The 23,705-nt window shown below is 51.3% G+C and overlaps 2 protein-coding genes and 1 long non-coding RNA gene across 21 annotated transcripts in view, besides 2 other annotated features; 2 read left to right on the top strand and 1 right to left on the bottom strand.

Moving 5' to 3' along the window:
- ADAR (adenosine deaminase RNA specific) overlaps positions 1 to 5,254 on the top strand; it is a 45,941-nt gene extending 40,687 nt beyond the window's left edge. For all 16 annotated transcript variants that reach the window (NM_001365046.1, XM_047428340.1, NM_001365045.1 and 13 more), the window contains 4 exons: positions 948 to 1,130; positions 1,446 to 1,558; positions 1,967 to 2,094; positions 2,268 to 5,254. In NM_001365046.1, coding sequence (NP_001351975.1) covers positions 948 to 1,130; positions 1,446 to 1,558; positions 1,967 to 2,094; positions 2,268 to 2,505 — 662 coding nt within the window. In that variant the 3' untranslated portion in view covers positions 2,506 to 5,254. The remainder of the gene's footprint in view (positions 1 to 947; positions 1,131 to 1,445; positions 1,559 to 1,966; positions 2,095 to 2,267) is intronic.
- CHRNB2 (cholinergic receptor nicotinic beta 2 subunit) lies at positions 7,298 to 19,533 on the bottom strand. 3 transcript variants are annotated; one of them, XR_001736952.3, is made up of 7 exons: positions 19,203 to 19,533; positions 17,704 to 17,849; positions 17,475 to 17,519; positions 16,944 to 17,053; positions 15,150 to 16,122; positions 9,126 to 11,549; positions 7,433 to 8,311 (listed from the first exon to the last, which is right to left on the bottom strand). XR_001736952.3 is itself a non-coding variant. In NM_000748.3 (6 exons), exons 1-6 carry the CDS (start codon positions 19,264 to 19,266, stop codon positions 11,379 to 11,381), a joined length of 1,509 nt encoding a protein of 502 aa, NP_000739.1. In that variant the 5' UTR covers positions 19,267 to 19,533; the 3' UTR covers positions 7,298 to 11,378. The 3 variants fall into 3 exon arrangements, 2 of the variants coding, with proteins under 2 accessions (NP_000739.1, XP_016855669.1); NM_000748.3 differs by having other exon boundaries at positions 7,298 to 11,549; XM_017000180.3 differs by lacking the exons at positions 17,475 to 17,519; positions 17,704 to 17,849; positions 19,203 to 19,533 and having other exon boundaries at positions 7,298 to 11,549; positions 15,150 to 15,986; positions 16,944 to 17,022.
- Positions 12,244 to 12,538: a silencer, noted in NCBI's record as "tiled region #5811; HepG2 Repressive non-DNase unmatched - State 19:H4K20". NCBI's record gives its function as "represses a minimal TATA promoter and a strong SV40 promoter by Sharpr-MPRA in HepG2 cells {active_cell/tissue: HepG2}" and the evidence as "EXISTENCE:reporter gene assay evidence [ECO:0000049][PMID:27701403]".
- Positions 19,233 to 19,362: a silencer, noted in NCBI's record as "silent region_1363". NCBI's record gives its function as "represses an Ori minimal core promoter by ATAC-STARR-seq in GM12878 lymphoblastoid cells {active_cell/tissue: GM12878}" and the evidence as "EXISTENCE:reporter gene assay evidence [ECO:0000049][PMID:35858748]".
- Positions 19,594 to 22,523, top strand: LOC107985206 (uncharacterized). 2 transcript variants are annotated; one of them, XR_001738238.3, is made up of 2 exons: positions 19,594 to 19,887; positions 21,129 to 22,523. It is a non-coding gene; the product is annotated as an uncharacterized LOC107985206 (long non-coding RNA). The 2 variants fall into 2 exon arrangements; XR_001738237.2 differs by having other exon boundaries at positions 19,594 to 19,752; positions 21,129 to 22,517.

Here is a 23,705-nt window from a genome sequence, read left to right as displayed (position 1 = left end):
GCTTACAATATGGATGCACTTGAAAACTTGATGCCAAATGAAAAAAGCCAGTCACAAAAGATCACATATTGTATGATTCCATTTATATGAAATGTCCAGAATAGACAAATCCATAGAGACAGAAAGTAGATGAGTGGTTGCCAGGGCCAGGAGTGGGAGAGTTGGAGAGATGAGGAGTGACTGCGCCAATGGGTAGAAGGTTTCTTTTTGGAGCGATGAAATGTTCTAAAATTGACTGTGGTGACAGTTGCAGAACTCTGTGAATATACTAAAAATGACTGAATTGTATGCTTTAAATGGGTGAACTGTATGGCATATGAACTATATCTCAGTAAAGCATTTTTTTTTGTTTTTTTTTAAACCCGATAGTGGTTTCCCACTGCACTGCATATACAAGCAAAACCTGCTGTGATCACCCGGCCTCCTCTCATGCCACTTTCCCCATCCCTCGCATATGCTCTGTCCACACTGGCTCTCTGTCAGGCGCCTGAACAGCCAATCCGCTGGCTGCCTTGGGGCCTTTGCTTTTGTCCTGTGTGCCTGAAACACTTACTCCAGCTGTCCTCCTCCATGTCTGGGCTCCCCTGCTGCTGCTGTCCCAGGAGGTGTCCCCTGTGGTCCTCCGTCATAGCTGCCTCAGAGCCTTCAGAGCACTGTCAGCATCTGGAATTCTTCCGTATGTACTGGCTACTGGTTTAGTGTCTATTCTCTTCCCTTTCAATCTCCTCACCACCATAGATGTTTTAAGAGCACAAAGATCTTACTTGGTTTTGCTCACCGTTCTTTCCCAGCACCAAGCATAGTGCCTGGCGCATAGCAGGGGCTGTGAAATATGTGAAGAATGAATGAATGTAGCCTGTGGCCCAAGCTTAAGGAGGATAGAAACCACGCCAGGGAGTGGTTTGGTCCATTGGCGCCTGTGGGTCTGACCCAAGTCTCTCACACAGGAGAAGGCACAATCCCTGTGGAATCCAGTGACATTGTGCCTACGTGGGATGGCATTCGGCTCGGGGAGAGACTCCGTACCATGTCCTGTAGTGACAAAATCCTACGCTGGAACGTGCTGGGCCTGCAAGGGGCACTGTTGACCCACTTCCTGCAGCCCATTTATCTCAAATCTGTCACATTGGGTAAGGGGCCTGCCTTGGGATCTGGAACTGGTCTGTCCTTCTTGTGCCCAGATCCCAAACTGCATGCTTTATTGCCAGGTGTTTTGTCTCCCTTATCAAAGTGAGCATGATTCACTCCTCAGTAATTGATTGAGTGTCCAGTCTGCTGTGGTAGGAAGATCCTGGTAGCCCCAGTCAGAAGGTGCTTCCTAACAAGGCAGCTGTTTCTCTTTCTTGACAACTATATCTTGTACCTCCAAAATCCCCACATGCTTCTGCCTCTTAACAGCATTTGGTGCAAACACAGGTATATATGTTTCTCTTTTTTGTACTCAGGTTACCTTTTCAGCCAAGGGCATCTGACCCGTGCTATTTGCTGTCGTGTGACAAGAGATGGGAGTGCATTTGAGGATGGACTACGACATCCCTTTATTGTCAACCACCCCAAGGTGCTATAACCCCCTTCTATTTTCCCTGACATTTTCCTCCTTTTCAAGCAGTCATGTAAACAGAGGAAAAATGTACACTGTGGGCAAGGGGAACATTGCCCACAGTGGTAGCCCACAAGGGAACATTGCCCACAGTGGCCCACCACCAACATTGGTTGGTCTCCCAAGAACTTAAACTTTCTTCCTTTTGGATGCCAAGGGCTTTTCTTCTCTTAGTCTGGAATTAATCTGAATCGAGGTGGAGTTAGTATGTCTAGAGGGTGCTCAGTCTTAGCCAAACAGAACCCTAAATACAGGGGAAAGATCATGACCCCACACTTCCTCTCTCCTATGAGTCTTGAGTCCCTGCTTCAGAATCTTATTCCTGAAAGGTTTCCATCTTTCTCCCGTTGCTTCTGGGATTCCTAGGTTGGCAGAGTCAGCATATATGATTCCAAAAGGCAATCCGGGAAGACTAAGGAGACAAGCGTCAACTGGTGTCTGGCTGATGGCTATGACCTGGAGATCCTGGACGGTACCAGAGGCACTGTGGATGGGTAAGGAGACAGGAGAGCGCAGTGAGGACCAAGCCTCTGCCCTGACTTGCAAGGGTGCATCATACCTCTGCAGTCTCAGGGCTTGAGAGCCGCCTCCCCTCCCACGGTGTCTCCACTGTGAGCTCCTTATCTTACAGGTCCCAGGTGAATAATGAGTGCTTTTGTTTCTCTAGGCCACGGAATGAATTGTCCCGGGTCTCCAAAAAGAACATTTTTCTTCTATTTAAGAAGCTCTGCTCCTTCCGTTACCGCAGGGATCTACTGAGACTCTCCTATGGTGAGGCCAAGAAAGCTGCCCGTGACTACGAGACGGCCAAGAACTACTTCAAAAAAGGCCTGAAGGATATGGGCTATGGGAACTGGATTAGCAAACCCCAGGAGGAAAAGAACTTTTATCTCTGCCCAGTATAGTATGCTCCAGTGACAGATGGATTAGGGTGTGTCATACTAGGGTGTGAGAGAGGTAGGTCGTAGCATTCCTCATCACATGGTCAGGGGATTTTTTTTTCTCCTTTTTTTTTCTTTTTAAGCCATAATTGGTGATACTGAAAACTTTGGGTTCCCATTTATCCTGCTTTCTTTGGGATTGCTAGGCAAGGTCTGGCCAGGCCCCCCTTTTTTCCCCCAAGTGAAGAGGCAGAAACCTAAGAAGTTATCTTTTCTTTCTACCCAAAGCATACATAGTCACTGAGCACCTGCGGTCCATTTCCTCTTAAAAGTTTTGTTTTGATTTGTTTCCATTTCCTTTCCCTTTGTGTTTGCTACACTGACCTCTTGCGGTCTTGATTAGGTTTCAGTCAACTCTGGATCATGTCAGGGACTGATAATTTCATTTGTGGATTACGCAGACCCCTCTACTTCCCCTCTTTCCCTTCTGAGATTCTTTCCTTGTGATCTGAATGTCTCCTTTTCCCCCTCAGAGGGCAAAGAGGTGAACATAAAGGATTTGGTGAAACATTTGTAAGGGTAGGAGTTGAAAACTGCAGTTCCCAGTGCCACGGAAGTGTGATTGGAGCCTGCAGATAATGCCCAGCCATCCTCCCATCCTGCACTTTAGCCAGCTGCAGGGCGGGCAAGGCAAGGAAAGCTGCTTCCCTGGAAGTGTATCACTTTCTCCGGCAGCTGGGAAGTCTAGAACCAGCCAGACTGGGTTAAGGGAGCTGCTCAAGCAATAGCAGAGGTTTCACCCGGCAGGATGACACAGACCACTTCCCAGGGAGCACGGGCATGCCTTGGAATATTGCCAAGCTTCCAGCTGCCTCTTCTCCTAAAGCATTCCTAGGAATATTTTCCCCGCCAATGCTGGGCGTACACCCTAGCCAACGGGACAAATCCTAGAGGGTATAAAATCATCTCTGCTCAGATAATCATGACTTAGCAAGAATAAGGGCAAAAAATCCTGTTGGCTTAACGTCACTGTTCCACCCGGTGTAATATCTCTCATGACAGTGACACCAAGGGAAGTTGACTAAGTCACATGTAAATTAGGAGTGTTTTAAAGAATGCCATAGATGTTGATTCTTAACTGCTACAGATAACCTGTAATTGAGCAGATTTAAAATTCAGGCATACTTTTCCATTTATCCAAGTGCTTTCATTTTTCCAGATGGCTTCAGAAGTAGGCTCGTGGGCAGGGCGCAGACCTGATCTTTATAGGGTTGACATAGAAAGCAGTAGTTGTGGGTGAAAGGGCAGGTTGTCTTCAAACTCTGTGAGGTAGAATCCTTTGTCTATACCTCCATGAACATTGACTCGTGTGTTCAGAGCCTTTGGCCTCTCTGTGGAGTCTGGCTCTCTGGCTCCTGTGCATTCTTTGAATAGTCACTCGTAAAAACTGTCAGTGCTTGAAACTGTTTCCTTTACTCATGTTGAAGGGACTTTGTTGGCTTTTAGAGTGTTGGTCATGACTCCAAGAGCAGAGCAGGGAAGAGCCCAAGCATAGACTTGGTGCCGTGGTGATGGCTGCAGTCCAGTTTTGTGATGCTGCTTTTACGTGTCCCTCGATAACAGTCAGCTAGACACACTCAGGAGGACTACTGAGGCTCTGCGACCTTCAGGAGCTGAGCCTGCCTCTCTCCTTTAGATGACAGACCTTCATCTGGGAACGTGCTGAGCCAGCACCCTCAGATGATTTCCCTCCAAACTGCTGACTAGGTCATCCTCTGTCTGGTAGAGACATTCACATCTTTGCTTTTATTCTATGCTCTCTGTACTTTTGACCAAAAATTGACCAAAGTAAGAAAATGCAAGTTCTAAAAATAGACTAAGGATGCCTTTGCAGAACACCAAAGCATCCCAAGGAACTGGTAGGGAAGTGGCGCCTGTCTCCTGGAGTGGAAGAGGCCTGCTCCCTGGCTCTGGGTCTGCTGGGGGCACAGTAAATCAGTCTTGGCACCCACATCCAGGGCAGAGAGGTCTGTGGTTCTCAGCATCAGAAGGCAGCGCAGCCCCTCTCCTCTTCAGGCTACAGGGTTGTCACCTGCTGAGTCCTCAGGTTGTTTGGCCTCTCTGGTCCATCTTGGGCATTAGGTTCTCCAGCAGAGCTCTGGCCAGCTGCCTCTTCTTTAACTGGGAACACAGGCTCTCACAAGATCAGAACCCCCACTCACCCCCAAGATCTTATCTAGCAAGCCTGTAGTATTCAGTTTCTGTTGTAGGAAGAGAGCGAGGCATCCCTGAATTCCACGCATCTGCTGGAAACGAGCCGTGTCAGATCGCACATCCCTGCGCCCCCATGCCCCTCTGAGTCACACAGGACAGAGGAGGCAGAGCTTCTGCCCACTGTTATCTTCACTTTCTTTGTCCAGTCTTTTGTTTTTAATAAGCAGTGACCCTCCCTACTCTTCTTTTTAATGATTTTTGTAGTTGATTTGTCTGAACTGTGGCTACTGTGCATTCCTTGAATAATCACTTGTAAAAATTGTCAGTGCTTGAAGCTGTTTCCTTTACTCACATTGAAGGGACTTCGTTGGTTTTTTGGAGTCTTGGTTGTGACTCCAAGAGCAGAGTGAGGAAGACCCCCAAGCATAGACTCGGGTACTGTGATGATGGCTGCAGTCCAGTTTTATGATTCTGCTTTTATGTGTCCCTTGATAACAGTGACTTAACAATATACATTCCTCATAAATAAAAAAAAAACAAGAATCTGAATTCTTAGAAAGTTTTAAGTCCTGGTTTCTTGGGGGAGGTGAAAATGGGAACAAAGGGACCTGTGGCCCTGGGGTTTCTGATAACAGCACCAGTGGCATCTGACATGAACCTGTGGGGGACAGGGCTGTCCCTCAGCCTTTGGAAAGGAGCCATTTCAAAGAACCTCCCTTTGTGGGTAAATTTGCGTCTGGGTGGGGTGGGGTTCATCAGGCACCTTTTGATTACGTACCCAGCAGGGCCCTTCCCCAGCAGAGCCCACGATTGATTGATTGATTGATTGATTGATTGATTGATTTAGAGATGGAGTATCACTCTGTCTCTCAAGCTGGAGTGCAGTGGCGCGATCTCGGCTCACTGCAAGCTCCGCCTCCCGGGTTCACGCCATTCTCCTGCCTCAGCCTCCCGAGTAGCTGGGACTACAGGCGCCTGTCACCACGCCTGGCTAATTTTTTTGTATTTTTAGTAGAGATGGGGTTTCACCGTGTTAGCCAGGATGGTCTCAATCTCCTGACCTCGTGAGGTCCACCTCAGCCTCCCAAAGTGCTGGGATTACAGGCGTGAGCCACTGCTCCCAGCCAGAGCCCACTATTAAATATCTTGTCCCACGGGACTTGAGACGCAAGATTTCAAGGCCCAGAGTAGGAAAACATCCCTTGAGAGAGGATCACCTATTAGGTACATAATTCCAGCTCTCCTTCAGGGGTGTTTTCTACCTCCTCCAAACCCCACTACTACCAGCTGTTTGACTTCCAGGAATGTGCATATTTGGAGTAAAGTTGCAGCCAGGACCAGGACAGGCTTGGTTGTAGTTTTAGGAGACAGACCATTTTCTTTTTACATCATAGATGACATCCAAATTATCTCTCCATCTTGAATTTCAGAGAGAATGTACCTTTTTTCACATTGTAATTTACATCAGAATTTCTAGAAGACTCATCCTGGACCCTTTAATAATATCATAACCAGAGGATCTAAAGTACCTAACAGTGAGGCTAAGTTCCAATTAAACCTGCCTCATCCATTACACAGAAGGAACAACTGAGGCTAGAAGGGCCAGTGACATGTTGTTTGTGGGCATATTTCTTGAGGACCAGAACACCACAACGCCACAGGTGTCATTCATTGCCTACTGAGCTACATTGCTGGGTAAGCTGAAGTTGGTTTTTTGTTTTGTTTTGTTTGAGACGAAGTTTCGCTTTTGTTGCCCAAGGTGGAGGGCAATGGCACGATCTTGGCTCACTGCAACCTCTGCCTCCCGGGTTCAAGCGATTCTGCCTCAGCCTCCCGAGTAGCTGGGATTACAGGCATGCACCGCCACCATGGCCAGCTAATGTTTTGTATACCATGTTGGCCAGCCCAGTCTCAAACTCCTGACCTCAGGTGATCCACCTGCCTCAGCCTCCCAAAGTGGTGGGATTACAGGCGTGAGCCACTGCACCTGGCCAACACTTTTAAGTGGAAAGACAGTGAAGGCTGTTGTCTCTGCCTGCTGTGATGTACCAGGAACCTTGAGTGCCTCTGTCCTCTCTGTTCTCAGACAGCTCCGGTTCCACATGGACAGAAATGTAGTGCCAGGTCTTTTGAAAAGTGGACAGTTTCCTCAGCCTGAGGCAAGTGCCCAGCCACTTTGTGTCCAGAGGGAACAACACTGTCCTCCCACGACGCTCCCTGAGTGGGCTGGGAAGTAGGGCTGCCCTGAGGGAGCGCAAGAGGGATTTTCTTCAGCTCATTTCAGTTGCTGTCTACCTGGCATTTCATTTAGGGGGCTCACAATTTAATACTGTTTCCAGGATGTAGGCCCAGATCTGCAGGTCTGGCCTTATGCAAACTGCAGCCTTGACTTCCCAGAGCACGGGGGCTGTGAGAGGAAACCCCCGCCATCCCCGCCTCAGGAGAGTGGTCCTCACCTCCGCCCAGCCCTTTACAAAGGACTCCCGGGGGCCTTTTCTGGACTCTGCCTACTCCAGGCCCAGTCATTTGGCCATTTCTTTTCCATCTGAGTGGGTTTGTAAAGCAGCAAATCACAGTGATTCGGCAGACTGTCACCACTCACTTTTTCTTTGGATTCTTGTGATGTCTTTAAGCTCTCACGAGTCCAGTTTCTCCAGCATTCTCCCTTTTTCCTGTATTCGCCAACGCTGGCCCCCACGGGCTCTCTCCCAACCCCCAAATAGAGTGACAAGACAACTTTGGAAACAACTTTCTTTACGAGAATCTTGAGTTCCTAATGAGTCTGACCTGGAGTAGGCTAGACCAGTGCAAATACTCCAGGCGTGCAGAGCGGGGAGGCCAAGGGCAGTGTGGGGAAGATGGGGGCATCGAGGGTGGCTGAGTGAGTGTCCTAATGATTCCTAGACCTACAGTCCCTTAGGAACTGCGTGGCTATCACACTGACCGCCTGGACCTGTTGGGATGAATACTAAAAGGTGGCTGTTCGCTGTCTAGTCAAGGTCGGTGAATGGGAGTCTGGCCAGCACTGGTTGGGCGGGGAGGGATGGTATGACACCTGCCTGACTCTGCCCGGAAACAAGGGGGGGACAACTGGAACCAGGTCTACTCTGGCTTGGGGAGTGATTCAGAGAAGGCTTTGAATGCCCCTTACTTTCCTCCCAAGGAGCTCTTCTGCCTGCCTCAGCGGCTATAGCAAGAGTGTGGACTTTGGGGTTCAGGCCCAGCACTACTCACTAGCTGTCACTTGGTCTTTCTGAGCCGCATTTCTGTTACGTAGGTGGAGGCCCCTTCCCATAGGATTGTCACGCGGAATAAAGACAACGCATGCTGAGGACCTGGCGCAGAGCAGACCCTTAGTAACAGGAGCTAATACTGGGATACAAACAGCCCCAGGTCCCCAAACCATCCAAAGAGCCCTCCCTGTTTCCTCTTCCGTTTCAAGACCATTGGGGGAAACGGTCTTGCCCTTCCTCTGCCGTAGCCTTCCTCAGTAGAACACACCACCTGGGGGCTGCTGTGTCTTGTTTGCTTTTAAATTTTCAATAACTTGGTACCAGCTGTTCTAGTATTTCTATCTCCCCGCCAGGAAGCTGCCTTCCTCCCACTGCAACGCCACCTGTCAAAAGCAGAGAGCCTGTGCATGCCTTCTTTTCAGACAAAAATAGTTCTCAGATCACCTGTGGCCTTGCCATCTCTGATGGAGATAGTCTCAACCTGTTTCCTCACTTCCCCTCCCAAACCCTTGCTCCAGGTTTCCATCCAGTATCTCTGCCACCTCCAGATCTGGAGCTTCCTCCAGTCCTTGCCCAGCATTAAGCTGGGCACCCGATTCTCTGCAGAGATAGCCCCACCACGGGAAGGAGGCATAGGGGCTTCCCTGACATCAAGAGAAGAGGACGACACACGACCCAAGGGTGGAAGAGACTGTGGTTCCCCAAAGCTTCCCAGTGCACTTGAGGGTTCACACTCTCCCACCACATGGTAGCACCTTGCCTGGGCAGTGGATCCTTCACCTCTGCCCTCACCTCTTCCTTATTGTGATGGTTCCCAAAGGGCTGCGTACAGAGATGGAGGGAATGACACTGCCCAGGTAACCCTTTCATATACACTGACCCCTTTCTTCCTTGCTGAAGACCTCGGCTAGCTCTGTCATCTTCATTTTGTAGATGCAGCACAGCCGGGTCTTAAAAGAGGTCAAACAGCAGACAAGCTCTAGGCCTGTTTACTCGTGTGTTAACCGGGTCATGGAGAGGAGCTGGACAAGCTGCTCTCTGCCATCCCCTCTAGCACCATTTGGTGACTTAACTTGGACAACAGCCATGTATGGGAAATATTAAAAGCAAGTACAGCCACAGCAGCAGCTGCTGGGGCCTCGGGGTAGCCCAGGCCCTGGGAGAGCCAAGAGGGAGGGCCTCAGGCCGGCATCCTACCCTTCAGAGGGAGGCTCCTTTCCTGTTGCTGTTTCTGGTTCCAAGACGCCTTCCCCAGGACCATGAGTTCAAGGAGGGTTCAGGCATAATACAGGCAACTCCCAATCCGCTCTAGAAGAGGGAAAGTTTCCATAGTGCAGAGACACTCCCTGCTACCAAGAAAAGGTGTCCGTGAGCCCATCCTGACAGACGAGATGCGCTGAGGCCTGTCTCCTGCAGCCACTGGCTTCCTGTCCCAGTGATAGGCTTCCACAGCCAGTACAGGACTAGAGCCTGGGGTCCCTGAGCACACACCTGTGTCAGGAGGTGCTGACCCAGAAGGGAGGCAGGGCCAGGGCAAGGGTTCAGCCCAGGAATGGAATGAAACTGCTGAGGGGGCTGCAGAGAGAAGCCTGCCCACCCGCTAGACTCCCTCTGGTGTTCCTGTAATGTTCCTCCCAGCTCCCCCAGCTCTTCCTGATAAGGGAGACTTGGTTTCCTCAGGGAAGAGGGGGGAAGAGTGGGCCTGGGAGGGAGGCTGGCATGACAGTCAGGGGACCCCATTCTCACCAGCTCCAGTTGCCTGTCAGACTCAACATTCATGAAGCATCTACTCTGTGCCAGGTACAGCGCTAGACTTTTTCACAAGCACTGCCTTATCCTCCCAGCAACCTCAGGAAGAGGGCATTGCCACCTACGTTTTATAGGCAAGGAAGCTGAGCTCTAGCAAGATGAAGGGACTTGCTCAAGCTGGCTCACATGAGTTACTAGCAGGGCCAGGACTTGAATCCAGACTCGGGGGTCCCTGTCCCATGCTCTGTGCCTGTGCTGTGTCTCCTCCCTCTGCCCTGCCTAGAGAAGCAGGAGTCCCAGCTGGGCTCTAGGGACAAAATGGCTTGTGTCAGGTCAGGTCCCTCAGGTGCACTTGGCAGGCTGACCCGTCTGTAACCCACCATCTGCTGGCCTCTGGAAGCAGAGTCAGGGTACAGCTTCCAGGGACACATGGGGCAGGAAGCCGAGGCTATGCTTTCTGAGGTGTCGCTGGCAGCAGCAGCCCTGTCCTTCCCAAGTTCTGCTTCAAAGCTGCTCAGGTTTGGTTGGGAAGGGGAAGAGGAAGAGTGACAGCCAGAAGGATGGAGCCATGAGCAGAACAGACTGGAGCAGCACGGATGTAGCAGGGTTCCAGCTGTTCACCTCAGCTCTGCTGTGGACAAAGAGGCTGGGTTGGCTTAAAGCTAACATCCTCAGTTCACTTCCTTAGAGTAACCAGTCAGTTCAAAGTGGGGAAAAAACAGGGCACTCGACAGATGGATCTCAGGGCAGGGAGGAAGAGTCAGACCCACCTGTGCTTGTCTCACCGTGTGGGTCAGTTTCTTCATCTGCAACATGGCTTATGTTGGAATCCATGGCTGTACAAAGTTCTTCCAGTTCCAAAAGCCCATGAACTTGGACTTCTCACAGATTTCAAGTATTTGGACCTGAGACTCCAAGCAGGTCACCCAAAGATTCAGAACTCAGAAGCTCCCCTAATACTCAGCCTTGCCCCCCACACCTTGAGCCTGAGAAAGGAAGGAAGAAGAGGGAAGTCCAGAGGGTGCAGAATTCTTCAGTGGGGAAAGAGGATCTGGAGCAGGTCTCTGGATCCCTTAGAAGCAAGGGGCTGTGGGACTGAGCTGGAAGCCTCCCCCAGGGGTCTGTGACCATGGGGCCCGGCTAAACCCTACTTGGCAGGAATCGCTGACCACTGTGGGGCCCACCCAGTCCAGCTGCTGTCCACTCAAGCAGCGGCAGGTGTCAGGTCACACCCAGGCCTCTCTCTTCCCCTCCCTTCAGAGCTACCATTGTGTCAGGCCAGCCCGGTGCGGTGTGAGCTCCTGCCCTTCCACCCCTTGTCCTATACCCCTCTTCTCCCATGACTTGGAGGCAGCAGACAATCCTGTCCCCTTCCTGGCCCCTTGCCCATCACTCCTCAGGGTGGATGGCTCTGCCATCTCTGTCTTCCACTTAGCAGCCTTGCTCCCCTCCTCAACACTATTGCCTGGGCTGGTACAAGAGATGGAGAGCAGCCAAAACAAAGCAGTTGGTCCAGCCTCCAGGTTGGAGCTGCTGTGTGTGGATGGAGGCGTGGGGGAGGAGGGACTCCAGATGAAGCAAAAGGATGGATCTGTGGGGGCAGCGCCCCTCTTCCTGGTAGCTCACTCGTCCATCCTCCACCCAACACTACTGTGCAGCAGAGGGTGGCAGGGTGAAAGAGCATGGAGATGAGGAAGGGCCTCACTTGGAGCTGGGGGCTGAGTGGTCTGAGTGGAGGAAGGTGGTGGTGGTGTAGTTCTGGAAGAGAGGCTGCAGGAACATGCCGATGGTGCCAAAGACACAGACAAAGACAAAGATCCAGAGGAAGAGGCGGTCGATCACCATGGCGACGTACTTCCAGTCCTCACTCACCTGGATGGAGGAGACGGAGGAGGCCCAGGTCACATGATGCAGGATGGGAGACAAACGAGTATAAGCGGGTCCCACCACACAGACACACACCCCACTCCTCTCCTGCAGTGATCCCAGAATGATCTTGTTAAAGCATGGCTCTGATCTTAGTAAAAGCCTCCAGTGGCCCCACTGCCTTCAGGGCCCATCCAAACTCCCCAGTCTGGAATCAAGACCACCCACGACAAATATGAGCCTATCTCCTCCTCCTCCCACCCCATAACATAGCCCTACCAAACCCTAGTGTGTCCTCCCAGATCTCTGTGTCTTTGGGTTTCCTTTGTGTCTGGAAATCCTGAGCTCCCTTTCTCTACCTGGTGCACTCCTACATATCTTTCAAAGCCCAAATCAAACATCACCTTCTCTGAAGGCTGCCTTGATCCCCAGATCAGCATGAACTGCTGTCTGCTCTGGGTTCCCTCTGCACTGTGTACACGTCTCCATCACAGTATATTTACTGTACTGTATTGTTTCAATTTGCATGCCTGTCCCCCTACTAAGCTACAAGTTCCTAAACAAGGACCCTGATTCATCTTTGTCATCTCAACATCTGGAACACAAGAGTGTTAAGTAAATGGCTGATGCTTTAGTGAGTTAAGTGGCTGCCTCAGCCGGCCTGGCTCCTTTTATGATCACACACTGAGCCCCATCCAACCACACTACGTCCCCAGAGGGTGAGACCAGGTCCCAGATGTGAACAAATCGGTCAAAAAGATAATGCTGTCTGTGGGTTTGAGAGCCAGTCACAAGGCTTGCACAAACGGCCAGCATCTCCTCAGAGCTGCTCTACTCCAGCCTGAGTCTGGGCCTTTGTGCACGTGTTTATCTGGAGCCAGGCCAGCTCAGGGGGTGGGGAGACAGCCACTGAGCATCTTTATTTAGTCAGCAGCTGAAGAACTCACTCGCTTGGCAACTGTGCCTGTTATATACCTGGCACCATGCTACACACTGGGGATGCAAATGAGCAACAGAAACGCAGCCAGTGGTTTACAGTCTACTGAGGGAGGTGGAGCAAAAATAAGCACAAATTTAAAAATTCCACACTGGCAAACAAAGGATTGAGATAAAAGGAGGAGATATCATTTAGAATGTGGTCTGGGAATGCCTTTTTGAGGAGGTGAGATTTAAGCTGAGGTCTGATGAGTGAGAGAGAACCAGCTGCATGAGGAAAAAGTTAAAGAAACAATCAGACAAACCCACACGGAGGGACATTCAGCCGGCCTGGTCCCTTTAAAAACGTTTATGCCATGAAAGACAAAGCTGAGGAACTGTTCCAGATTGAAGGAAACTAGAGACATGACAACTAAATGTAATTTGAGACCCTGGATTAGGATGAGGGTGGGGGGTGATGCTACAAAGGACATCACTGGGACAATCGGGAAAATTTAAATGTTGAATTTATATGAGATACAGATATCAATGCTAAATTTCCAGCAGTCGATCACTGAACCTGGGTTATGCAAGAGAGTGTCCCTGTTCTTAGGAGAGACACACTGAATTATTTGGGATAAAGGGTCACAGTGTCTACAATTTACTCTCAAATAGTAGAGTGAAAGTTAATAATTGTAATGATTTTTTTTTAAAGAAAAAGGGCATCCCAGGCAGAGGGACCCATGTGTGCAAAGGTCCTGAGGCCACGAAAGAGCTTGGCTTGCTTAAGACAAGATAAGCCAGGCTGGGCGCAGTGGCTCATGCCTGTAATCCCAGCACTTTGGGAGACTGAGGCGGGTGGATCACCTGAGGTCAAGGGTTTGAGACCAGCCTGGCCAACATGGTAAAACCCCGTCTCTACTAAAAATACAAAAAATTAGCTGGGCGTGGTGGCGGGAACCTATAATCCCAGCTACTCGGGAGGCTGAGGCAGGAGAATCGCTTGAACCCCGGAGGCGGAGATTGCAGTGAGCCGAGGTCGCACCACTGCACTCCAGCCTGGGCAATAAAAGCGAAACACATATCAAAAAAATAAATAAATAAAAGATAAGCCAGTGACCAGTGACCTGGGCAAGGAGGGAAAGGCATGAGCCGTGAGGGAGACATCTATTTGGATGCAGGAGCACAGGAGCTGAATCAGGGAGACTATTAGGAGACTCTTCTGCCCTAGGCCAGGCAAGAGCTGATGATGTCCTAGAACCAGGGTGTTAGCATGGAGATGCTGAAAAACAGATGAAGCTGAGAATGACTTTGGGGTTGTGACAGGACAAGACTTCTGATGAATTGGACAGAGAGGGAGGTGAGAAAGGACAGGATCAAGGATCCCTCTGGGTTTTCAGTCTGAGCCATTAAGTGAATGGTGATGCCGTGTACTAAAAACTGGTGGAGGAGCAAGTTGGTGGTTAGGATGTAGACCAAATACTCAGTTTTGAGCATGTTGAGTTTGAGGTGCCTGTGAAGCATCCAAGTAGGTCACCACATCCTCAGCACCTAGCTCGGTAAATGCACAATACATGCATGACTGCAGCAGGAGAGGTGGAGGCGGTAACCACAGCCTGCTGAGTCCCTGAATCCCAGCATCTCCCACTTGGCCTCAGCTGGCTCTAAGGTTCCCACCCCATCTCCTCTAGTGTATGCTCCCTGGTCCAAGCTTCAGCTCCAACCCATCTCCTGCTGTCCAGGGAAACAGATCTCTGAGGCCCACACCGCAGTGCCCTTCTTCATCCCCCAGCCAGAATGGCAGCTGTCCTAGAGGAAACCTGGCCAGTCACCATGGCAACAGCTGAGCCTCAGCCTGGAACCAGCCAGGTAGCCAGAGACTGACCACAGGGTGGGGCCGGCCCCTACCCAAAGTGCGGGGTCGGGGGGATGTCAGCCTATCATATCTCCCCCCAACTCTTGGCTCAGTCTCAAAGAAGCTCTCAGGGAACCCTGTAGAAGAAGCCAAAAGCCGGGTATGCAGAAAGCCTGAGGAAGGGGCCAAGGAGCCTTCCCCTTCACCCACCCCCATCTCCATAAATATTTCAGGAGGCCATCCCCTGGGACTCAGAAGAGCAGGGATATTGATTTAGGACTCCATGCTCTCCACCACAAGCAGGCTCCTGGAATCTCTAACCCCGCCACCAACGCCACCCCTCCCCCAATACACACCACTCCTACTGTCCTCAATGTTGCCCCCTCCTGCCTGTGTGGTGCACAAAAGACTCATCACTTGTGCTAAGAGCTGCAGGTTAACAACTTGGATGTGGGCATGCAAGCAGCGGGGGGTGGGGAGGGACTCTCGGGGTCACGGCCACAGGCTGGCTGCCAACCCTAAAGGGCCTCCTCGTGTTTCAGGCCTCCCTGCCCATATAACGATGCCCCAGCTCAGGCATTTTGCCCTGGGTGCTAGCCCTCAGGAAGCAGCAAGGTCATCTTCCACCGACTCCAATTTAGGCCGCACAATCTCCCGGAAGCCAACCCAGAAGGGCCCTAGCCAGCACCCAGGCCCGCAACACAGGCCTGACTCACATTTTCCTCCCCTACACTCCTACTACCTCTGCATGTCTATAGAACGCCGCTGCTTTCCAGATACCCGGGCCCTGGCAGACCCCATATCTCACGCCCGGGGTCCCAGCCTGCGGCACTCACGCTCTGGTCATCGTCCTCGCTCCGCATGTGGTCTGCGATGAAGCGCACGCCGTCCACCGCCTCCCGGAGGCCACAGCCACACGGCTCCCCTGAGCGCCCGGGGCCCGCCACTGGTGCAGGCTCAGCCCCGAAGGCCCCGGCCAACCCCTGCACCGACGCGCGGTTGACGAAGCACGTGCAGGAGTCGGCCCCTGGGGCTTCGCGGAAGAAGAGGGCTCCAGCGCCCTCGCGCTCACGCTGGCGTCGCCGCAGGCGCAGGCGCTGACGGGCGCAATGATGGCGTGGCTGCTGCATGAAGAGCAGCGCGGGCAGCTTCTCCAGGAAGACGACCTTCACCCAGGGCGCCATGGTGTGCGTGGTGGGCGAGCGGTGGTGCACGTTGAGCACGCACACGCTGGTGACGATGGAGAAGGTGACAAGCACCATGGTGAACATGAGGTACTTGCCGACGAGCGGCACGTCGAGGGAGGTGGGAGGCACGATCTTGGAGATGAGCAGCAGGAAGACCGTGAGCGCCAGCAGCACTGAGATGCACAACGTCATCTTCTCGCCACAGTCGGATGGCAGGTAGAAGACAAGGATGGCTAGCGAGGTGATGAGCACACAGGGGATGATGAGGTTGATGGTGTAGAAGAGCGGCTTGCGGCGAATGATGAAGTCATACGTGATGTCCACGTACGTAGAGTCGTCGGGGTTCTCGTTGCGCCGGCCCGGCAGCGCCACGATGTCCCACTCACCACTAGGTGTGAAGTCGTCCAGGCTGGCCACCTCACTCTTCAGCACCAAGTCGATCTCTGTGCGGTCGTAGGTCCACGAACGGAACTTCATGGTGCAGTTCTGCTGGTCAAATGGGAAGTGCTTTACTTCAATCTTGCATGCGCTCTTGTAGATGGCAGGCGGCAGCCAGAAGATGCTGCCATCATAGGAGACCACGGCATTGGAATAGAAGGACACCTCGTACATGCCGTCAGCACTGCCAAAGGATGGGCACAGTCAGCCCTGGCCTAAGCGTTCCTTCCTCCTTACCCATCAACCCAGCCCCTAATGGGAGGAGAGCAAAACCAGAGGGAGACATGGGGAGGGGACACCCAGATCTGAGAGTAACCATCCAGGAGTATAGAGAGGTGGAATTGAGCAAGAAGGGGATATGGGGAGGGGGGGGAAGGTTAGTGACCAGAAGAAGTGTCCTGGTCAGAAGGCCTGTGTGACACCTTGCAGGTAGAAGGGGGTGGTGGGTGGAGGAAGGGGACACATCTGCTACTTGTCACACATTGTATAAGCTGGTTGATCCTCATGAGGGTGGAGAAGTCAGGGGAGCCAGGAGGCCAGAGTGAGGAGCCCCAAGCAATGGAAGGGGACAGGGCATGGTCCCATCAGTTGAGGAAGGTGGCTTTGTACCCTAGAGATAAGATGGATTATTGCAGGAGACAGGATAGAACCTGGAGGAGAAACTGGGACCTTAAAGTTCTTTGATCCTTCCCAGGCTTCCAGGAAAGCCTGTTCCTGAATCAGTTGAGGCGCTGGGGGCTGTCAATACTTGTTTGTATCCCCACCACATCATCAAATACATACTGGGAGTCCTAACCGGCTGGGAGTGGGCTGGTCATTGCCCAGGTCACCTTGGCTGTCCACGCTGTACCTCACTGGTCTGGGTCTGTCTGTCTAGGTAGTGACTACATATCTATTATAAGTCCCTCCCCTCCCACAGCATAAGTAATTTCTCTTATTTTCCCCAGAACCCCTTCCCTCCCTGAGCCCTCCAATGGTCTCCCCCAACCTTCCCATTGCACCTACTTGTTGTACAGGACCACATCTGGGAGCCAGATGTGTTTGGAAGGGAGCCGAACTTTCTTCATGTTGTCAAACTCTTCAGGCTTCCAGGTGAGGCGATAATCTTCCCACTCCTGGGAAATGAGAGAGGGAGGCAGTACCAACTTGTGCCCTGGGTGGGGCTCAAGGTTAAGGAAACGAACTAGAGGGGGCCCATATGGCTTGAGGGACCTTTTAAAAGCCAGCCTCTTCCCCACAGTGACTTCTCTGCCCATCAGGTATGGCTCATGTGGTACTTTCTCATTTAATTTGCACAGCTAGGCCAAGGTACAGTATTAGAATCTACATTTACAAATGAGAAAATGAATCTTGGAGAGTTTAATATGTTTAAAGTCACAAGGCTGGTGAGTGCCAAGATTCAAATCCAATTGTTTAGGACTCCAAACTCTATACCTTTCTGCCTGTTTTGAGAGATTAAGAAAGAAAAAAGCACATGGGGAAAAAGGAGGAGAGAGAAGGCCAGGGGTGTGGGTGGAAGAGAGCACTTACGCTTACCTGGGTCAGCCAGACATTGGTGGTCATGATCTGCTCCCGCTCATGCTGCAGGGAGGAAGAGAGGCTGCCGAGAAGGCCCCTAAGCCTGTGGGGTCACTGCCACCACCCAGGGTCCCTCTCACACCTCCCCAAGCCTTGGAAACACCAGGGGAGGAAGCACACAAGCATTAACACATTTTGGCGGGGCTGATTTCAGTAGCTGGGCAGAGAGCCTGGGACCTCTACTCACCACACTGATGAGCTGGGCCAGTGACACCATAAGCTGTACTGTCACCAGCTCAGAGCCATTGGTGGCTGGGCGGATAAGCTTGTTGTAGCGGGAAGGATCCAGGAGATGCTCCACCAGCCGCTCCTCTGTATCCGTACCCCACACCCCTGGGCAGGGGAAAGGCAGGACGAAAGTAAGCAGGCAAGGAGAGCCCACCCAGCATCCCACCCTCCCCAGGCAAATGGGACAATCCAGGCCCAACCAGTATCTCCCTACATCCCTAAGGATACTGCAAAATGCTTAGATTAACCCCAGGGAGGCCCCAGATTAATGTCTTCATAGAAAAGCCCCTCTCTGAGACCACTGACCAAAGAGTCTACACAGCTCCACAGAGATGACTTGAGACTAAGAACCCACTCTGCAAGGATTCATGGAGACCTGCTCTTCCCCCAAAGTCTCAGAGGGCAGTTTGAGATTTCTGCTTCCATGGCTTCCCCAGCAAATACCTATGACTCAAGGGAGGTTTAGCAGGGCAGTGAAGGTGAACAGTTATTTGTCCCAGTTATTTGTGTCCCACCACACACATCCTTTCTCCTGCCGATTGAGGAGAAAGTGTATGTGTGGTGGGACACAAATAACTGTTCCCGTTCACCATTTACATGTGCAAATGACATTATGTGCCTCACGTAATGACATGTGACTGTGGTCACGATGCCATCCTCCCCTCTCCCTAAAGGCACTGGGTTGGAGTGGAATAGCTGGGCTGCCTAAGCTGTGGGTCAGGCATATATGTAGCCCCAAGTTTCACACACACAGCAGCCCACCCCTAGAGGTGGCCTGTAGGTGTGGAAAGCTCATTCAGTTGTGCATTCCCTTTGTACCTGCCCCTCCCCGGCACACTGCATCCCCCTCTGCAACTCTGCACGAACACACCCCTCCCCATCCCCTCAGAGAGTTCCTTCCTAGTCCTCAGCCTGGCAGAGCTTCTTCCCTTCCAAGCCTCCTGTCCCACCCTACAGGAGGGTTGAAAAGTCCGTTCCGTTTTCTCCCCTTCTCTGCCCCTGAGGGGTGACGAGAATCTGGAGCCCAATGTGGGGGATGGGAAACGATGGGGAGCCCGGGGAGGGGTGCTGGTCCAGGTACCTTTCTTGAGATAATGTTTCACAAAAAGTCAGATGGCATCTTAGCGCCCTCAGAGCCGGCCTCCTGCCACCCCAGGACGCCTGGGGAGATCCCCTGCCTCCTTGCTCTCTGTGCCTGCACCACCCCTACCACCGCTGGCCAGGTTTCCATCTCTTTCTTGCTTCACTTACTCCTTCGAGTATGTCTCGTTCCCAGTCCAGCCTCCCAGGTGCTCTCTGCAGTCCCGGGGGGCTCTCCCCTAACCTCCAGCAGACTCCCCCACCTCTAGGGAATCCCTTCTTCCACCTTCCGGCCTAGCAGGGGTGAGTCAGAGGGCGGCGAGTCTTGGGCCGTTGGCTGGGGTAGGAGAACCTGGCCAGTGCCCGTCTTTCCCTTACCTGAGCACAGCCGGAGGAGGCCGAAGCCAAGGAGCAGCGCCACGGGGCCGCAGCGCCGGGCCATGCCGCGGGCATAGCTCGCTGCCTCGCCTACACCGGCTGGAGCGCGCCGCCGGGGGGAGGGCCGCGGGTGGGGCGCTGTCCGTGGTGCTGAAGCCGCGCCCGCCTGGAGCTGGGTCCAGGTGGTGCCGGCCGCCGCGGTGGTTCCTGGGCCTCAGGGAGCCGGCTGCGAGGAGAAACCAGCTTCTTGCCTATCCTGGTATGAGCAGGCGGAGGCTTTTCCGGCTGCTCTTCCAGGGAATACAATTGGGACGGTGAGGGGGAGGAGTCTGCGCCCCGGAGGCGGAAACGCTGGGTCCCAGGAAAAAAAAGGGGGGTCCCCGGCTGGGATAGTCTTCGATTGGTTCTGCCGTGGTAGGGTGTGCGTGAGGTGGAAGAAGGGCTGTTCCTCCACGGCACGGTGGAGGAGTTCTGAAGTCCTAAAGTTGGGGCAGGACCTGCAGCATGGTCGGAGAAGGGGCAAGAGGCCCGGCGGGAAGAAGCAGCAAGAGTAAGACAAGTAGGTCAGGGCCTGCTTAGTACTGAGGGCCAGACGGCCAGAACGAGCGTCGGGAGACAGGAGGAGTGTCCGGGGTTTTCGCCCTCCTTTTTTCTCTTACCAAACCCAAATGGTCCTGCTCCCCAGGTAGGCTGAGGATACAGCAGAGAAAATGTGTTTAGCCCCTTAAAGAGATAGGGGGCTGTGGGTTTGCTATTTTTAAGAAAGCAAACGGCTTTGGAGTCTAAAAGGCTAAGCTTCCTGCCCTCCCACTGAGGGTCTACCTGAGGAGGTCTAGACTTGCCTGCAAAGAAGGTAGACTTGAGGGTAATAGTGGAAAGACAAGTAGCCCCTATTCATCGGCCTTCCTCACCCCCTTCTCTTGACTCCAGCTGTTGGCTTCTGTGTGACTAGGGAGATCAGAGACCACTCACAGAGGCCTGATCAAGAGAGAAGCTAACACAAAGGAGACCAAAGATGAGAACCCTGAACTCTTAGCCCCTTTTTTTCCTTCAGTGGGTTCGTTGTCACTTTCAACCAAAAGATTCCTGACTAAAGCAGACTTAGCATACAGCAAGGCTCTGTCCTGTTTTGTCCCTGCTTACTTCAACCTCATCTGGGTCACTCCACCCCCAGCTCCACATTCCAACTATTGGCAAGGTCTTCAGGATCCTTGAACATCTTATCCGTCCCATCATCCCCCACACTTCAGGGACTTAAATGCATGGTTCTCTTGGGCTCTTTTATAACCCATGTTCCCCTCATCACCTTCTACTTAACTTTGAGCATTTGGCAGGAATGTCAATTCCTTAAGGAAGCTGCGCCTGACCAAGAACTAGATCAGATACTTTGTTATATGTTTCCAGAGCATGTCCAATGAATAAATGAATCCACCTGAGGCAGTGGCTGCCTCTCTAGATTATGAATCAACACAGTGCCTGGCATATTATTATAAGGGCTCAACAGGTAAGGAAAAGGGCTAGTACTGGACTGACACTTTTTAATGTGTAGGGAAAATTTCTCTCTAAAAGCTCAGCTAGGGACCAGGAGAGGTGACTTAAGCCCGTAATCTCAGCACTTTCAAAGGCTGAGGCAGAAGGATCACTTGAGCCCAGGCGTTTGAAACCAGCCTGGGCAACATAATGAGATCACGTGTGTACAAAAAGTTTAAAAATTAGTCGGGCATGATGGTGTGTGCCTATAGTCCCAGCTACTCGAGAGGCTGAGGTGGGAGGATCACTTAAGCCAGGGAGGTCGGGGCTGCAGTTTGGGGCATGATGGCGCAACTGCACTCCAGCCTGGGCAATGAAGCAAGACCCCATTTCAAAAACTAAACAAATAAATAAATAAAAGCCCAGCTAAAAGCAACTTATTGACCATGTCCCCAGGTCGTGGAATTAAGGGAAGAAGCAGAAAAGTTCTAGAAGAGGACTGGAGAAGTAGAAGGACTACAGACCCCATGATGCACATGGAAATGGGCGTAAATCTGCACGACTTGTTCCGGGGCATGCGCATGTGTAAGCGCACAATAATCTCTTAAGAATTAAAGAAACCTTGTAACAAAGAAAAGTAGTGAAGAAAAGCCTTAAGGAAAAGAGAAGGAATGTGTGTAGTCCCTCTGCTTAAGGAAAAGATAGAGGGTGGGAAGATCTTCCTTCAACAATTTAGATCAACATTTGTTAGGTATATGTGGTTTGCCAGGAAACTGCATGTGTGTTGTGGACCATATGTGTTGAAGATGCAGTGATCAAAAAGACTTAGTCCCAGCTATTAAGGAGATCACAGTTTGGCAGCAAATTATTATAGAATGTGATGGCTGTTCTAACAGACATATAAAGGAAGTGCTATGGATGGAAGCACAGAGGAAGAAGAGGTTAATAGTGTCTAAGAACCTAGAAGGGATGAAGATGAAAATTGAGATTTGAAAGGTGAGAAAGTCATTAAGACAAGGATGACTTAAAGGTATTCCAAACTCCTAAGAAATACAGGGAGTTTTGGTGGATGCAGAATGATTGAGGAAGGCTGTGAAAGTCTTCTCTTAACAAAAATCTCTTTCTGTAATGGTTGCTTGTTTATGGGATGAGAAACTAGGGGGTCATTTGCTTGCTTAAAGCCTCTGGCTTCTCCTGATGCAACTTCCAGGCCAGTCTACCTTCTCTTCTCAAATCCCCCAGCTTTTGCTTCAAGTTTACTTCCAGCCTGGCAAGGAGTGAGTCTTCTGAGCACAACCACCCAGTGTCCAAGCAGGGCGGGAACACCTCCTTCCTCATCTCTCCCACACATACTCCTTCCATACCCACCAAGAAGAAAGGCAGCCAGGAAGAGTGGACAGGTCCAGAACCACAGAGGGTGATGAACAGATGCAGAAGTATCAATCCTGAGGCTAAAGAGTAATTGGGCAAAGTTTTGGTGAGACACTCCCATTGCCACTGATGATAAGGAATGTTTTCTCTTGAAAGGCTTAAAATTGGTGGAAAGCGGTGGCTCACGTCCGTAATCCAAGCACTTTGGGAGGCTGGGGCAGGTGGATGGACTGAGCTCAAGAGTTCAAGATCAGCCTGGGCAACATGGTGAAACCCTGTTTCTACAAAAAATTTAAAAATATTAGCCAGGTGTGGTGGCACGTGCTCCCAGCCTGGGCAACACCTCCCAGTACTTGGGAGGCTGAGGAGGGAGGATATCGTGAGCCGTGGAGGTGGTTGCAGTGAGCCGAGACTATGTCACTGAACTCCAGCCTGGGCAACAGAGCCAGACCCTGTCTCAAAAAAAAAAAAAAAAAAAAAGGTTGGGGGGAAAGGCTTAAAATCAATGTTATTGTCCTTTATTTAAGGCGTTTTAGGCTGAGTGTGGTGGCTCGCACCTGTAATCCTGGCACTTAGGGAGGCCAAGGCAGATCACCTGAGATCAGGAATTCAAGACCAGCCTGGCCAACGTGGTGAAACCCGGTCTCTACTGAAAAATACAAAAATTAGCCTGGTGTGGTGGCGCATGCCTGTAATCCCAGCTACTCAGGAGACTGAGGCAGGAAGAATTGCTTGAACCTGGGAGGCAGAGGTTGCAGTGAGCCGAGATTGCACCACTTCTTCACTCCCAGCCTGGGCAACAGAATGAGACGCCATCTCAAAAAAAAAAAAAAAGATGTTTTAAATTTTAAAATTTTTATTACAAAAGTAATACATGTATTCGTCATGAATACCAATTGGAAAACAAGTCAGCAAAACATAGTAAGTACAAAATGGATTCATACTCCTACCTCCCAGGAAAAAAATCAGTGTTAGCAATAATATATTTCACACACACACATACCCCTCCAAATTTATCTATATATACTCGGATATAACATTCATACAGCAAAGTATATACAAGTGTACAGCTAAATTTTCACAACATAAACACAGCCATATAGCCGCAATTTAGATTTTTTTTTTTAAAGAAACACACATAACTAATATCCAGAAGTCCCCATGATGACCCTTCCAGCAGTTACTCTCTCTTCTTCAAAAGTAACACCTTGGGGCCAGGCGTGATGGCTCACACCTGTAATCCCAGCACTTTGGGAGGCTGAGGCGGGTGGATCACAAGGTCAGGAGATCGAGACCATCCTAACACAGTGAAACCCCGTCTCTACTAAAAATATAAAAAAAATTAGCCGGGCATCGTGGCGGGCACCTGTAGCTCCAGCTACTCGGGAGGCTGAGGCAGGAGAATGGCGTGAACCCGGGAGGTGGAGCTTGCAGTGAGCCGAGATCGCACCACTGCACACTCTAGCCTGGGCGACAGAGCGAGACTCCATCTCAAAAAAAAAACACCTTGGGAGGAGGGAGGAATGGGAGGTGGTGACTACTTACCTGGAACTAGACAGTAGTAATGGTTATACAACTTGTGAATGCACTGAATGCCACTGAGTCATACACTTTAAATTAGTTAAAGTGGCAGATTTTATGTGTAATTTTACCACAATTTTA

Source organism: Homo sapiens, chromosome 1 (assembly GCF_000001405.40).
Source record: "Homo sapiens chromosome 1, GRCh38.p14 Primary Assembly".
Classification (NCBI taxonomy): domain Eukaryota; kingdom Metazoa; phylum Chordata; class Mammalia; order Primates; family Hominidae; genus Homo; species Homo sapiens.
Note: the sequence above shows the minus strand (reverse complement) of the source record. Positions and strands in the feature narration are given on the sequence as shown.